At 35.8% G+C, this 12,238-nt stretch overlaps 1 protein-coding gene across 26 annotated transcripts in view; it reads left to right on the plus strand.

Annotated features, from left to right (window-relative positions):
* The window catches only part of MCTP2 (multiple C2 and transmembrane domain containing 2), a 252,587-nt gene that overhangs the window by 107,396 nt on the left and 132,953 nt on the right, over positions 1 to 12,238 (plus strand). For 25 of the 26 annotated variants that reach the window (NR_169532.1, NR_169530.1, NR_169529.1 and 22 more), the window contains 4 exons: positions 529 to 671; positions 1,438 to 1,514; positions 2,052 to 2,163; positions 6,368 to 6,403. Coding sequence is in view for 19 of the 26 variants with exons in the window: in XM_047432839.1 (XP_047288795.1) it covers positions 529 to 671; positions 1,438 to 1,514; positions 2,052 to 2,163; positions 6,368 to 6,403 (368 nt within the window). In the remaining 7 variants the exon portion in view is untranslated. The remainder of the gene's footprint in view (positions 1 to 528; positions 672 to 1,437; positions 1,515 to 2,051; positions 2,164 to 6,367; positions 6,404 to 12,238) is intronic. The other variant, NM_001385011.1, reaches the window with a different exon arrangement.

Genomic DNA, 12,238 nt, shown 5'->3' on the forward strand with positions numbered 1-12,238 from the left:
CTTTGTCAATTTAATCTCTACGCCTCCAGTTTCACTTGTAGCCCCATCGTGCCATCTTTTGAGCCAGTGATTCCAGAGATTTTATTTATTATGATTATATTTTCAAGTATAGGATTCTGTTGAATCAGCCATCTGGCTAAATGTTTGAAACTGATTTCTTTCACTTTTCACTGACTTGCTGCAGTTCCTAGGAGAGGGTGGGCTTCTCCCTAAGACTACTGACCCTGTTAGCTTGTGCTGGTAGATTTTACTTCTTGAATTTTTGCGAGTAGTATAGGAGTGACCTACCCACAATGAAAGAAAATAAAAATTACTCAAAGAGCCCATTTATATTCTACCACTAAAGGGAAAAAATCGTTCATTTACCCCAAATTCTTTCATATCTCCCTGTCTTCCATCTCCGAGCCCTTTAATCTCTGTGCAGGGAGACATTAGCCTGGGGAGTGGGGAAAGGATCTTTATTTAATGAAAGTCCCAGGCTTTTACATGTATTTTAAAATTCTGTCTTGTTTTCTTTTCCTTTTAAAGGCACAAGTGATCCTTATGTGAAATTTAAGCTGAATGGGAAGACGCTGTACAAAAGTAAAGTCATATATAAGAACTTGAACCCAGTATGGGATGAGATAGTTGTATTGCCAATCCAAAGCCTTGATCAAAAGCTACGTGTGAAGGTAATCACAGATAGCTTTCAAATCTGCTCCTTTATTAAAAACATTTCTCAGCAGTTTCTCATGTCCTCTTAGACGTGAACTTGCCAAAATTAATTCTTTTATTAGGACAGATTAAAAATAATAATATAGAAAAAATTCCTTATACTGTTTGTTGAAACTGTATGTTTCTCTTCAATCAATGAGATACACTCCAGTGAAAATAATATCTACATTGATTGCATTTCAGTCTACCAAATGTGGAAGAATTATTACTGGTACTGCAGTGGTGACAAGTACTAAAGCCTTTCTCATTAGGAATATCTTTATACTTAATAGAGCTTCAAGCTACCCCTTGTAAGCATCAATTGCTACAACATCTGGGTTAAAACTGCATGAGTTGAGTGCAGGATGAGATTGCTATAGAAAATTTAGCAAATTTCTATTTAATTGGCAGATCTGCTCACTGTGGAAAATACTAAATTTTAATGACAGACTATTTAAACTACAGAGAATGGTCCATTGTGCATAACATTTCAATGGATATAAATACTGCCTTAAAAGAAATTGTTGCTGTTATTTTGGTCATAGTAGGCAAAATGGGCAAGATTGAATAATTTTGTTCTCTGCATTGGCTTGACTAAATTTCTCTTTAACTATACTATGCAAAGTATTTCAAGATCTGAAAGACTGATTTCAGAATTTCCAACCTATTGCATTTGTTAATAATTTGAAAAACTCAGTTGGTTTACCATAATAATGTGTTAATTGACCTCTGTCCTCTTTGTAGGTATATGATCGAGATTTAACCACATCTGATTTCATGGGTTCTGCATTTGTCATTCTCAGTGATCTTGAGCTTAACAGGTACCGTATTTTTACATTTTAATTGTTATTGATGAGTTTTAGAGGGAACTTACGATAATGTTAAATGGTGCTTGTTGAGGTCAAATGACAAAAATAACATATCTGAACAAATGAAAGAGAGCTTTAAAGTGTTATAACTGTCAGTGTATTTTTAAGGATTTTTGCTTTCCAGGTGCCAAATATATTAGTCAGATGTTAAGTATTTTATAATGCATTCTAAAGTGTGTATTGGATTTCATACTTTGATTTGTTAATATTCAGTTTCATTAACATAACTTAAAATTAAAACAAGTGTTTACATTTTATTTGAGTGGTAGGGGAGGGGGATCAGTTAACCAACTGTTGAATTAAACAATGCCAAACAGTTTCTCTACTCTGAATATAACTGTTTTATTTTCACTAAATTTTGTGCTTTCTTAACATCATGTCTAATCCTTATTCAGAGGTAGGAGACTTTTACCATAAGCTCCTGATGCGTGTAGGTCAATACAGTCCTGTCAATAAGTGGTAGCATTATTTGTTGCTTTTTGCTTGTAGAACAACTGAACATATTTTAAAACTGGAAGATCCAAACAGTTTAGAAGATGACATGGGAGTGATCGTGTTAAATTTGAACCTAGTGGTAAAACAGGGTGATTTCAAGAGACACGTAAGTGGGACCTTCTATTCTTTTGAAACCTCTCATTTTGTCGTTTTGAAATGGCTCATTGCAATTGTCCCTTGATAGCTAGCAGATGACTGATGTTTTTGCAATTATTTTAGGGGGGGTGCAACATTTTATGGAGTCTTAAAATATCTGTTTTTTAATACAATGCTCTTCTTTGAGGAACCGGAAAGGAAATTTGTTAAGGAATTATTTCTTTTGTGTTATTAAGATGATCAGGCATACATTTGCAGCATTTTGGTTTCTTCTTTCTTCTTTTACTTTTAGCTACCAAGTTTTCCATTGGGAGTTCTTTTGGGAAGATACAAATTTTAATGTTCTCTAGTCTAGTACATGCAAATTTCTAGTTGATACAGTACCTATCAAAGATGTCTGTAACATCAGTGAAGCATTAGACTTTGTCACAATATGATTGGGACTCTTCTTTTGAGCAAAAATGTGGATACAAATCATAATCTTATTTTATTTGGGATTATATTTTATAATTCTAAGGCTATATTAGAACAAAAGCATCTTTGATGATGACTTATTTGAAAAGTATTTTTAAAGCCAATTGAAGTACCTGCTTTTTAAGATGTGTTATAATTTAGCATGTTTATAATCCAATATAAAAATATAAAGCCTATTTATAATTAGGTCTCCAGTAATGCTTCTTGAATTGAGGCAGTGGGGTGGGTGAGGAGAATATTTTTCTTTTGACATCACTTATGCTTCTAGTTGTAGCTTTTTATGATGAAAACCGTGATTGATTTACTAGTAAACTCAGAGAAGATAGCTTAAAGCAGTAGGAAAACTGTAGTGTGACTTTTCAGTTACCTTTTCAAAGATTCAACTAAATATCTGCTATTTTTAACTTGAGTTCCTTTTATTACTTCTTTTTAAAAAGTGGCCCTGTTGACACTTGTGACCTCAATAAAAGAGATATTTTAATGTTAAAATGTCTTAAATTAATGTTGAAAATAAAAGTATTTTTTCTCATCCCACCTAAAGAAGGAGGGATTTTCTTTAGCTTCTTCTTGATCTTGACAGCATTGCTGCTGCATCCGTGACTCTGGATTCAGTGTCAGTGATACAGTAGGTGACCGGTGACTTGAGCTGGGGGCTAGGTTATAGCATGCAATGTAAATAGTTATTTGTCACGTGGTTGACAACTTGCCAGCTGATATCGTCAAAAAATTTCTTATATATTCAAGTGGGGCTTGTAAAGGTAGTTGATTTCTCCATGAAAATAGCTGCATATTCAAATGACTGCCTTTGTGAAGTTTTCTATAGCATATTAGATTATGTTTAGCAGTAATATTGGCACTTAAAAGATATTTAATATTGTCAAAATTTAGAGTTTTAACATAATGCCATTTTAGTTTCAATTTATTTCAAATTGCAGAACAGTTAATACTAGACTCAGCTTGGAGCTGTTTTTGTAAAAGATCTCAAAGAGACTATGTTTTCAGGGCTCAAGAATAGCCATATTTCCTCTTAGTGTAGGCCTGGTTTCCTCTGACTCCCCACCTCCCATGTTGAAGACTTTGTCAGAATGTCTGTCCGCTCACTCATGTGCTTCCTTATTTTCTTTTGTCTTTGTCTGGCAGAAGCCTAGTGTACACTATATTGATTATATATACACACACAAATATATTTTTATCCCCATATATACACACACACACACATATATATTTATATATACACAAATATATATTTGTCTCCATATATACGCATATTTATCTCCATATATACACATATATTTATCTCCATATATATACACACATACATATATATCTCTATATATGCACATATATATTTATATATACACACACATATATATCTCCATATATATACACACACATACATATATATTTATCTCCATATCCATATTTATTCAAGTTGGGTTTGTAAAGGTAGTTGATTTCTCCATGAAAATAGCTGCATATTCAAATAGCTATCTTTGTGAATTTTTATATCCATATTTATGTATATGGAGATATATATGTATGTGTGTGTATATATATATGGATACATGTATATATACACATATATATGGATCCATATACATATATACACATATACACATATATGAATACCTATATATATATACATATGGAGATAAACATGTATATATATAACATATATATATATAATGGAAATATAGACAACTGCCTACTCTTATCTCTTCTGATTGGTAGTTTTTTTCCATTTATATATTTGATCAAAGAAAATTAATTGAGGAATAATTTATTCTGGGCCATGTGTGGTTATTCAGCTAACAGTGCATATTGGGAGCCTTGGGGTAAAATAGATTATCAGAATCTTTGTTCTTTTCATTGAGTTTGAGTTAATATTTAAAGAGATTTTTATATTGGGATTTTAAGTGGGAATAACTAGCACTTGGGACTGGAAATCAGTAGATTATTTGGGTGAGATAATTTGTTTATAAATTTCCATTTTAATTTAAACTCTGATGGAGAGATTTCAGTTTAAATTCTCAGTTTTTTACCCCTTTTTCTTCCAGTCATCTTTGAGGTAGCCTTTGTTGCTTTAGAACCAAGCTGACAAAAATCTCAGTATGTACAAAATGTTTATGAATTTACTCTTGTGTCCAGGGACTTAAATGTATATGAGAATGGTGCAGGCAGAAGGGAAGACACTGGCTGCAAGGCTGACAAACATACTCTGTGTTCTTTTTTTGTGGCAAAAAACAGGAAAAAAATAGTAGCTAAAATTAGGAGCTCTGTTCTCAGACTGCCTGGGTCTGAATCCTAGATCCACCAGTGGTCTGGTTAACTCAAAGAATTATTTAACCTCTCTAAGCTATAATTTCCTCATATGTGAAACAAGGATAAAAAGAGTGTCTGTTTTATAGGGTTGTGAAGATTGAAATTATCAAATATGGTGCTTGGAATTGGGTAGAGACACTCAATATATGGTAGTTGGTAGCATTGTAGGAAGTGAATAGTAATAGTCATTTTCCATTAATTTATTTACATGCTTTATCTTGTGTAATTGTTAAAAAATATCAAATGCGTTCCTATGTGTCAAAAGGCCTAAATAGCCCTGTGTACCTAAAAGATGGTAATTAATTTTGGTGGTTGGTTTGGGTGAAAATATCTGTCACTATTTCAGGAAAATACAAAAAAAAAAAACAAAACCCTGATATTAATATCCAGGTTATAGTACCTATAACTCTGTCATAGGCTGAATGTTGAACTCCCAATATCACTGGGGGACATGTAATTAATGAAGAATATTTTTCAGTCATTTCTGTACCAACATTTCTAGTTGCTGGTCAATGCAATGTAAGTGGATTTCCCCTGAAGATTATTAATTTTCTGGTTTCTAATGTATTGGGAAGACATATTGGCAAAGTGGATCGGTCATTTACCTAAAGGTATTTTTTTCTTAAGAAAAATAGTAAATGTGGTCTGCTCAATTAGGTTTATAATTGAGTTGTAACCTCCCAAATTTATCCAAGTTGTAACAACCAGTTAGCTTGTTAACCAGCCACAGTAGAGCTTTGCAGTACTGAATGGTGACAGGAGTGATGAGAGGGTTTTGCTTGGAGAGAATTTGTAGACCAAATTCAGCAGCCTTAGCATGACAGAGGAGAGATCAGAAGAGAACAGTGGTGAAGTTTCTTGCTATTTAGAAATTTTTTTCCTTTTCCTTAGATACTGCATTAGCACATTTTCTTAATTATGCAATAATTATTCATATTTTGTCTAGTGTTTTGAATACTGAGATTTACTTGAAGTAAATGGAATTATTTTTTTCTAGCATCTAAAACTATGGAAACCTAAACATCAACTATCAGTGGTCATGAATTTCTTAAACATTTTTATAATATCTGAGTATTTCAAGCAGAAGAAACCTTTCTGCTTTTTTAGAGAGAATAATATGGTGTTTTAAGATAATTTTTAAAAATGTACTTCTAAAGATTGAACAGTATTTTTATGTCATGGCTTTTTCATACTGAATACTTAGAGAAAATGATGTAACACAACCACATACATGTGACTCTTTGTTGTTGTTTCTATTTTCTTGCTCAAATATGCTTTCTCTATAACCTCAGAACTTGGATATTAATTATCTGAATGTAACCTGGACCATCTAACATAATATAATTACATTGATAATGATTCTATCTTCCTCTGTTTTATTTTGCCATTTTCACCATTCCGCGGACACAAATCTTTAGCGTTGGTCAAATCGGAAGCGATTAAGTGCCAGCAAGGTAAATATACTTTTTTTTCCTTTAGATCATTTGGTTAAAAACTTTGTCTTTGTAGCAAACAAAAATGACTGCATGATAGATATTACCCAATCTTTACATCAAACAGAATTCTTTTCCTCTTACTGCTGTTACGAATAAGAAAACAACCTTCCTTTAAAAATTTTATTTAATAAGGGTATTGCCAGATGTTTGAGCTGACTCTTGTTTTAGTGGTGGCATTTTATATGTACCGGCCATGTTAGAGTGTTACACTTCATTAAGCTTGGATTATTTAGAGTTTAGCATGGTTAGATTTAGTCCCTTTAGGAAGTTATTTGCCATGAGATGGAAACTAGCATTGGTGTTGTAGGGGCAATGTAAGGGTTGAAAGAAACATGTGGTACACTTTTTAAGTCTCTTTAATATCTTTTGAAAAAGCCATTTATAAATTTTTGGTAAAATTTCCTTTAAAGCTTTCTCATGAATTGCTGGTTATTTAGTTTTTACATTGATAGTATCTTTTTAAGCAATTATACATTTCTGTCTGATTTATAAAAGGCGCAAGAATGCATTATTAATTTATGAAGTTATTAAAGTAGCCAGTTGTAACATAAATGACTAAATGTGAAAATTAGTGTAAAAATAAACACAGCAAAAAAGTATTTGTAACTTAATTTATAAATTAAGGAGAAATTATACTTTGTAAGGAGAAATAACAACAAAATAATTCCTACGAAATGATGCAGTATTTGAGACTGTTCCTTCAGTTTCTGAATTGTGGTGGTGGTGGTGTGTGTGATCGGAAGATGTACAGATGATCTCGGTGAATGCCTGTATTTGCACACCCACATATATGTGCACATAAATACGCCAGCTCTGATTTCTAATGTCACTGTACCTCAGTTACTTATTTCTCTACATAATAAGGAGCTTGAAACTGGGGCCACTGCCAGCTCAAAGACTGGAGTTTGGATGCGGATGAGAGACCGAGAGAGCGAAAGAGAGAAACAGAGAATTTTAAACTGACTTTTACTAGTCACTTAAGAAGAAAGCAAACTTTCAAATCTTGCTTTTGAAAATACGAAGGAAACAGAGTTCTGACTCATACTTACTAAAAGATATACCCTTTGCATTATGAACACTTTAAAATAATTCTCATAAGGTGTCTTGTTACCGTATGAGTTCACTTGGTTCCCAAGACTCTGATTCTTTTTAGTAATAAAATTAATATTCAAGAAATAATAACACGGAGCCATCTCAAAAATTCCTTCAACATTTGCCTTATTCCTTTATAGTCACTAGAGGGTAGAAGAACATCATTTCTCACCACAGGACTAAGCCCAGCTCTCACTCTCCCATATTAAGAGTTTCTGTAACCACCCAAAGCAGTAAAGTTTCCCAGAATGCTTTGGGGAAGCCTGACAAAGCAGTATTTTCTCGTTTATTGATTCTGCTGCTGCACTAAAACACGGGTACTGTACATCAATAACCATCTTTAGTTAGGGAGCTTTGGTCTGTGGAAGAGCACTGGCAGTTTGTGGAAGAACATAAAGGCTAGAAAGAAAGATTGTGAGCCTGGGGAATATTGGAGTCTAGGGAGGACAGGAGAGGTTGTGGAAGAATGGCCAAACGAATGATGGGGAGTAGAAAAAATGTTGACGGCCTGGGTGAAGTTATCAAAAATATGAAGGAAACAGAAGATCCCGGAGAGCAGTATTTATATGTATACTTCAGAGTTGTGTCTTAGAACTGAGCTGTTTGTCTTTTTTTTGCTTTTTTCCCATCATGGTAGTTTCTCGAATTTGACTTCAGTGCACTGGGCTCAGGGATATAATACGCGCCCATCCCGAGTATACATGTTTAATAAAATCCTAGATAAATAAAGTTTACTTTATTAATTTTTGAAAGCTACTTATGCTCTTATTCAAGGCACACAAGTTATATTTTGCTGGGAAATTTCAATTATGTTGACTTTTTGCTTCTGAGAATGTACAGTTTTAAAGAGAAAAGTCAGGTAGTGTCTAATTTGGCTTATGGAAATTAGTCACATGGAGACTATAGACGCTTGATCAACAACCTGTAAAAGTAGTTAAAATACCCTGGTCGGCCTATTTTTTGGTATTTTTAAATTATCAGGTTCTATTTTAGGATTTCCACATTGTATTTAATATTATGTAATAATTTAACATAAAGAAGATTACTTAGCTCTGAGTATTAAAATTTTCACTAGTCCTAAGGAATGTATTACCTAAAAATATCATTAGCTTTTTCACCTGAATCTTTTTCTTATAATAACTTTATTCAGATAATTGCTTCTTAATGCCATAAATCTATAATTTTGCATCATCCAAAAGGTTCCTGAATGGCCTTTGTAGATTCTTTTTTTCAACTGTTTTCTTACTGTTCGGCCCTGGATTTCAATATAGTAAATACAATGAGATTGCCTTTAAAAATGGGCCTTCAAATAAGAATTGGGAATTTCATTTAATAGGGTTGAATTCGACACCTAGTTCTCTTTATGTATTTACTATATACAATCTTTGGTGTGACCAGATTTGTTTCCAAGCCTTATTTCCCGCTTTTCTAATTTGTATAACAATTCGAGAGCTAAAAAATATTAACAGTGGTTATTTACCTTACATCAAATAGTCTAATATAAAGACAAAAAAGCAATGATAAAAAATGGCTTTGACAAATTACTGATTGTGTTCAGAAACTGCACATATTCTGTCTCTCTCTCTCACACACACACAGACATACACACACACACACACATACACTCCCCACACCCCCTGCTATTATTTGGGTGTGTATAGGTGTTATGTCTGACTACAATGGCTATTTAGTTATGGATTATCTTTACTTTAGATGAATTTTTACCAAGATAAGTACATACTCTTACGTAGCCTCTCTTTTGACCCTCTGTTATATGTATTAATATGTCTGCTGTCTAAAGTAAGAAACATGACTTATACTAGTGTAATTTTTTTTTCTGTACGAAATTAATTGACTTCTAGTGCCAATTGTTGGCCTGTTTGGTTTTATATTCTTTTATTTTGGTTCCTCTCTGTTATTGCAAAGGCTGACCTCTGCAGGATACATTCTCTAGGCACTCCTATCAGCTGGCCTCCACCTGGCTACATACACTGAGAAGACAGTCATAGCATTTGGAGGGAATCAATCTCCCTTCCCCTCTCCCTCTCCTCTCTCACTCTCCATCCCCCTTCTCTCTCTCCCTCTCCGTTCCCCCTTCCCTCTCCATCCCCTCTCCCTCTCCCCCTCCCCATCTTCCTCCCCCTCCCCCCCTTCATTTCTCTCCTCTCCTTTCTCTCTCCTCTCTCTCTGTCTTCCTCTCTCTCTCAAATGAACTGCTCCGTGACCAGAGCCCAGGTGAGAACCAGGAGACGTTTTTTGATTGTTTGTAGTCATATATCTTTGGGTTGAAAAGGAGCTACTCAAAGATGCCACTTCTGTCATCTTCTAGGTGAATGCCCTCTCTCACTGTACCGCTTTCTCTAATTGAACTCACATGTCTTATTTCTGTGTTGGCCCAGGAAGTAGTACAAGTAAAACCCTCTTGCAGGAGGAAATATGGTCCATTTGAGGACTTAAAGGAAGTGTGTTGTACCTGGAATTATTCCCAAATTAATACAGTTTTTTTTGTTTGTTGTACTGTTTTTTTGTTTTCATGCATTCTTCACTGAATTCAAATGCCCACTCCTAGTAACACCTGTTACCTTTTTATTTTCTTGGTTAAACTCAAAGGATTGGAGAACTGAATACTCAAAACAGCCACATTTATCTATGTGCTTATTGTACACCTACCTCTATCTGCTTGTCTGTTTTCCATCTATGATCTAATTTAGCTCATCTATCTAATTTATCTACCCGTCTCTATCTGTCTTCTATCTCTATTTCATCTGTCAATCAATCAATCTAAATGTCACACTGCACTGACCCACTGCTGAATGTCGTAACCCTGATGCTTCTGATGCCTTATTATGAAGTCTAGGTCAGTATTAACCTGGACAGAATGACTTCTAGAGGCTTTCCTCCTCCCTGGAAGCTGTAGCCTTGTTTAGGTGAAGCTATCAATTTATCAGAACTTTCAAAGCTTGTATGTACTCCACACCAGAGGGACAGAGGGACTGTCTTCCTTAACATCTCATCAAATCTCTCCTCTCAGTGATGTTTGACTCAGTTTGCCCCAAAACCTCTCACTGAGCACATACACTTGCGGTAGAACCTGTCCTTGGATACAGGGTGAATTAGACTCAGTCATCAGAATTGATGAGCAGGTAAGAGAAATGAGAATTAGTGACGGAGGTATTCAAAGGGTGCAGTGAGACCATTATCCTGGCCTTTCAGGTGGGTGGAGTGGGTTGGACGCTGGTCTCTGTGTTGGGCTCAGGAAAGCCCTCAGATAAAAAAAGACTGGAGGCTGAGGCGGGCGGATCACGAGGTCAGGAGATCGAGACCATCCTGGTTAACATGGTGAAACCCCGTCTCTACTAAAAATACAAAAAATTAGCCGGGCGTGGTGGCATGCGCCTGTAGTCCCAGCTACTCTGGAGGCTGAGGCAGGAGAATGGTGTGAACCTGGGAGGTGGAGCTTGCAGTGAGCCGAGATCGCAGCACTGCACTCCAGCCTGGGCAACACAGCGGGACTCTGTCTGAAAAAAAAAAAAAAAAAGACTGGAATGAATCTCATCAGTTGAGAAAGAGGATGAAATGAATGGAAACATTTCAGGATAAAATAATGTGGCATATGGTAAGATCTCCAAACTATTTATTGTAGGACTCTAAACAGCTTGCTTTTCGGTGTGTCCCCTGGACCAGCCGCAGCTGGTAATGGTTAGAAATCCAACTTCCTGGCTCCCATCTTAGACTTCTTCAATCAGCAACTCTGGAAATGAGGTGCAGCCATCTTTGAACAAGTCCTCCAGGTGACTGTCAAGCACCTTCAAGTTTGAGAAGCCCTGGGAAGGACTAGAGTATAAAGAAAGATGCTGGGAACTGTAGGAGAAAAAGCAGGAGATGTAAGGAAGGGCAGGCCTTGGAGGCCATGGCTCTGGCTCCTAACCATAAGGTGATGGAGGTAGGCTGGGATTAAGGTGAGGCAAGAGAGGTGCTCTGGGTGCAAAACATAAAATGGCATCCGGGGCTGGGCACGGTGGCTCATGCCTGTAATCCCAGCACTTTGGGAGGCCGAGTCAGGTGGATCACTTGAGGTCAGGAGTTCAAGACCAGCCTCGCCAACATGGTGAAACCCTGTCTCTACTAAAAATACAAAAAATACTCCTGTAGTCCAAGCTACTTGGGAGGCTGAGGCAGGAGAATTGCTTGAACCTGGGAGGCAGATGTCGCAGTGAGCTGAGATCACATCACTGCACCCCAGCCTGAGTGACAGAGCGAGACTCCGTCTCAAAATAAAATAAGACATCCAGGCTGATGCACCAGCCCTGCACTTGCAGAACCTGGAGCATGAGCTGTGTACCTCACTGCTTCACACTACTCCCAGCCCTCGGTAGGGTTGCTTATAAAGTATTTTAAGTAAGAAATATAGAACAATAGAGAAGTGAAGGGTAGCAGGATTATACAAGTAAATCAAGAAATACAAGACGATTAATACTATTGCACATGAGCCCAACATATAACTTGAGCTTCCTACAGGTCAGGGCAAAAAGAAAATCTTGTTGAATCACATGGCCCTTGTTGTTGTGTTGTTTTATCTCTTCATTTTTTTTTTTAAATAGTAGGAAATGCATTAGAAGCATTTCGCTGGTCCTAAAATCTGAGAGTCACTGGGTATGTGCAGTCTTTAACTATTTTTTTAAATCTTCTCTTAATCTATTT

The sequence above is a fragment of the Homo sapiens genome, chromosome 15 (assembly GCF_000001405.40).
Source record: "Homo sapiens chromosome 15, GRCh38.p14 Primary Assembly".
In the NCBI taxonomy this organism is placed as follows: domain Eukaryota; kingdom Metazoa; phylum Chordata; class Mammalia; order Primates; family Hominidae; genus Homo; species Homo sapiens.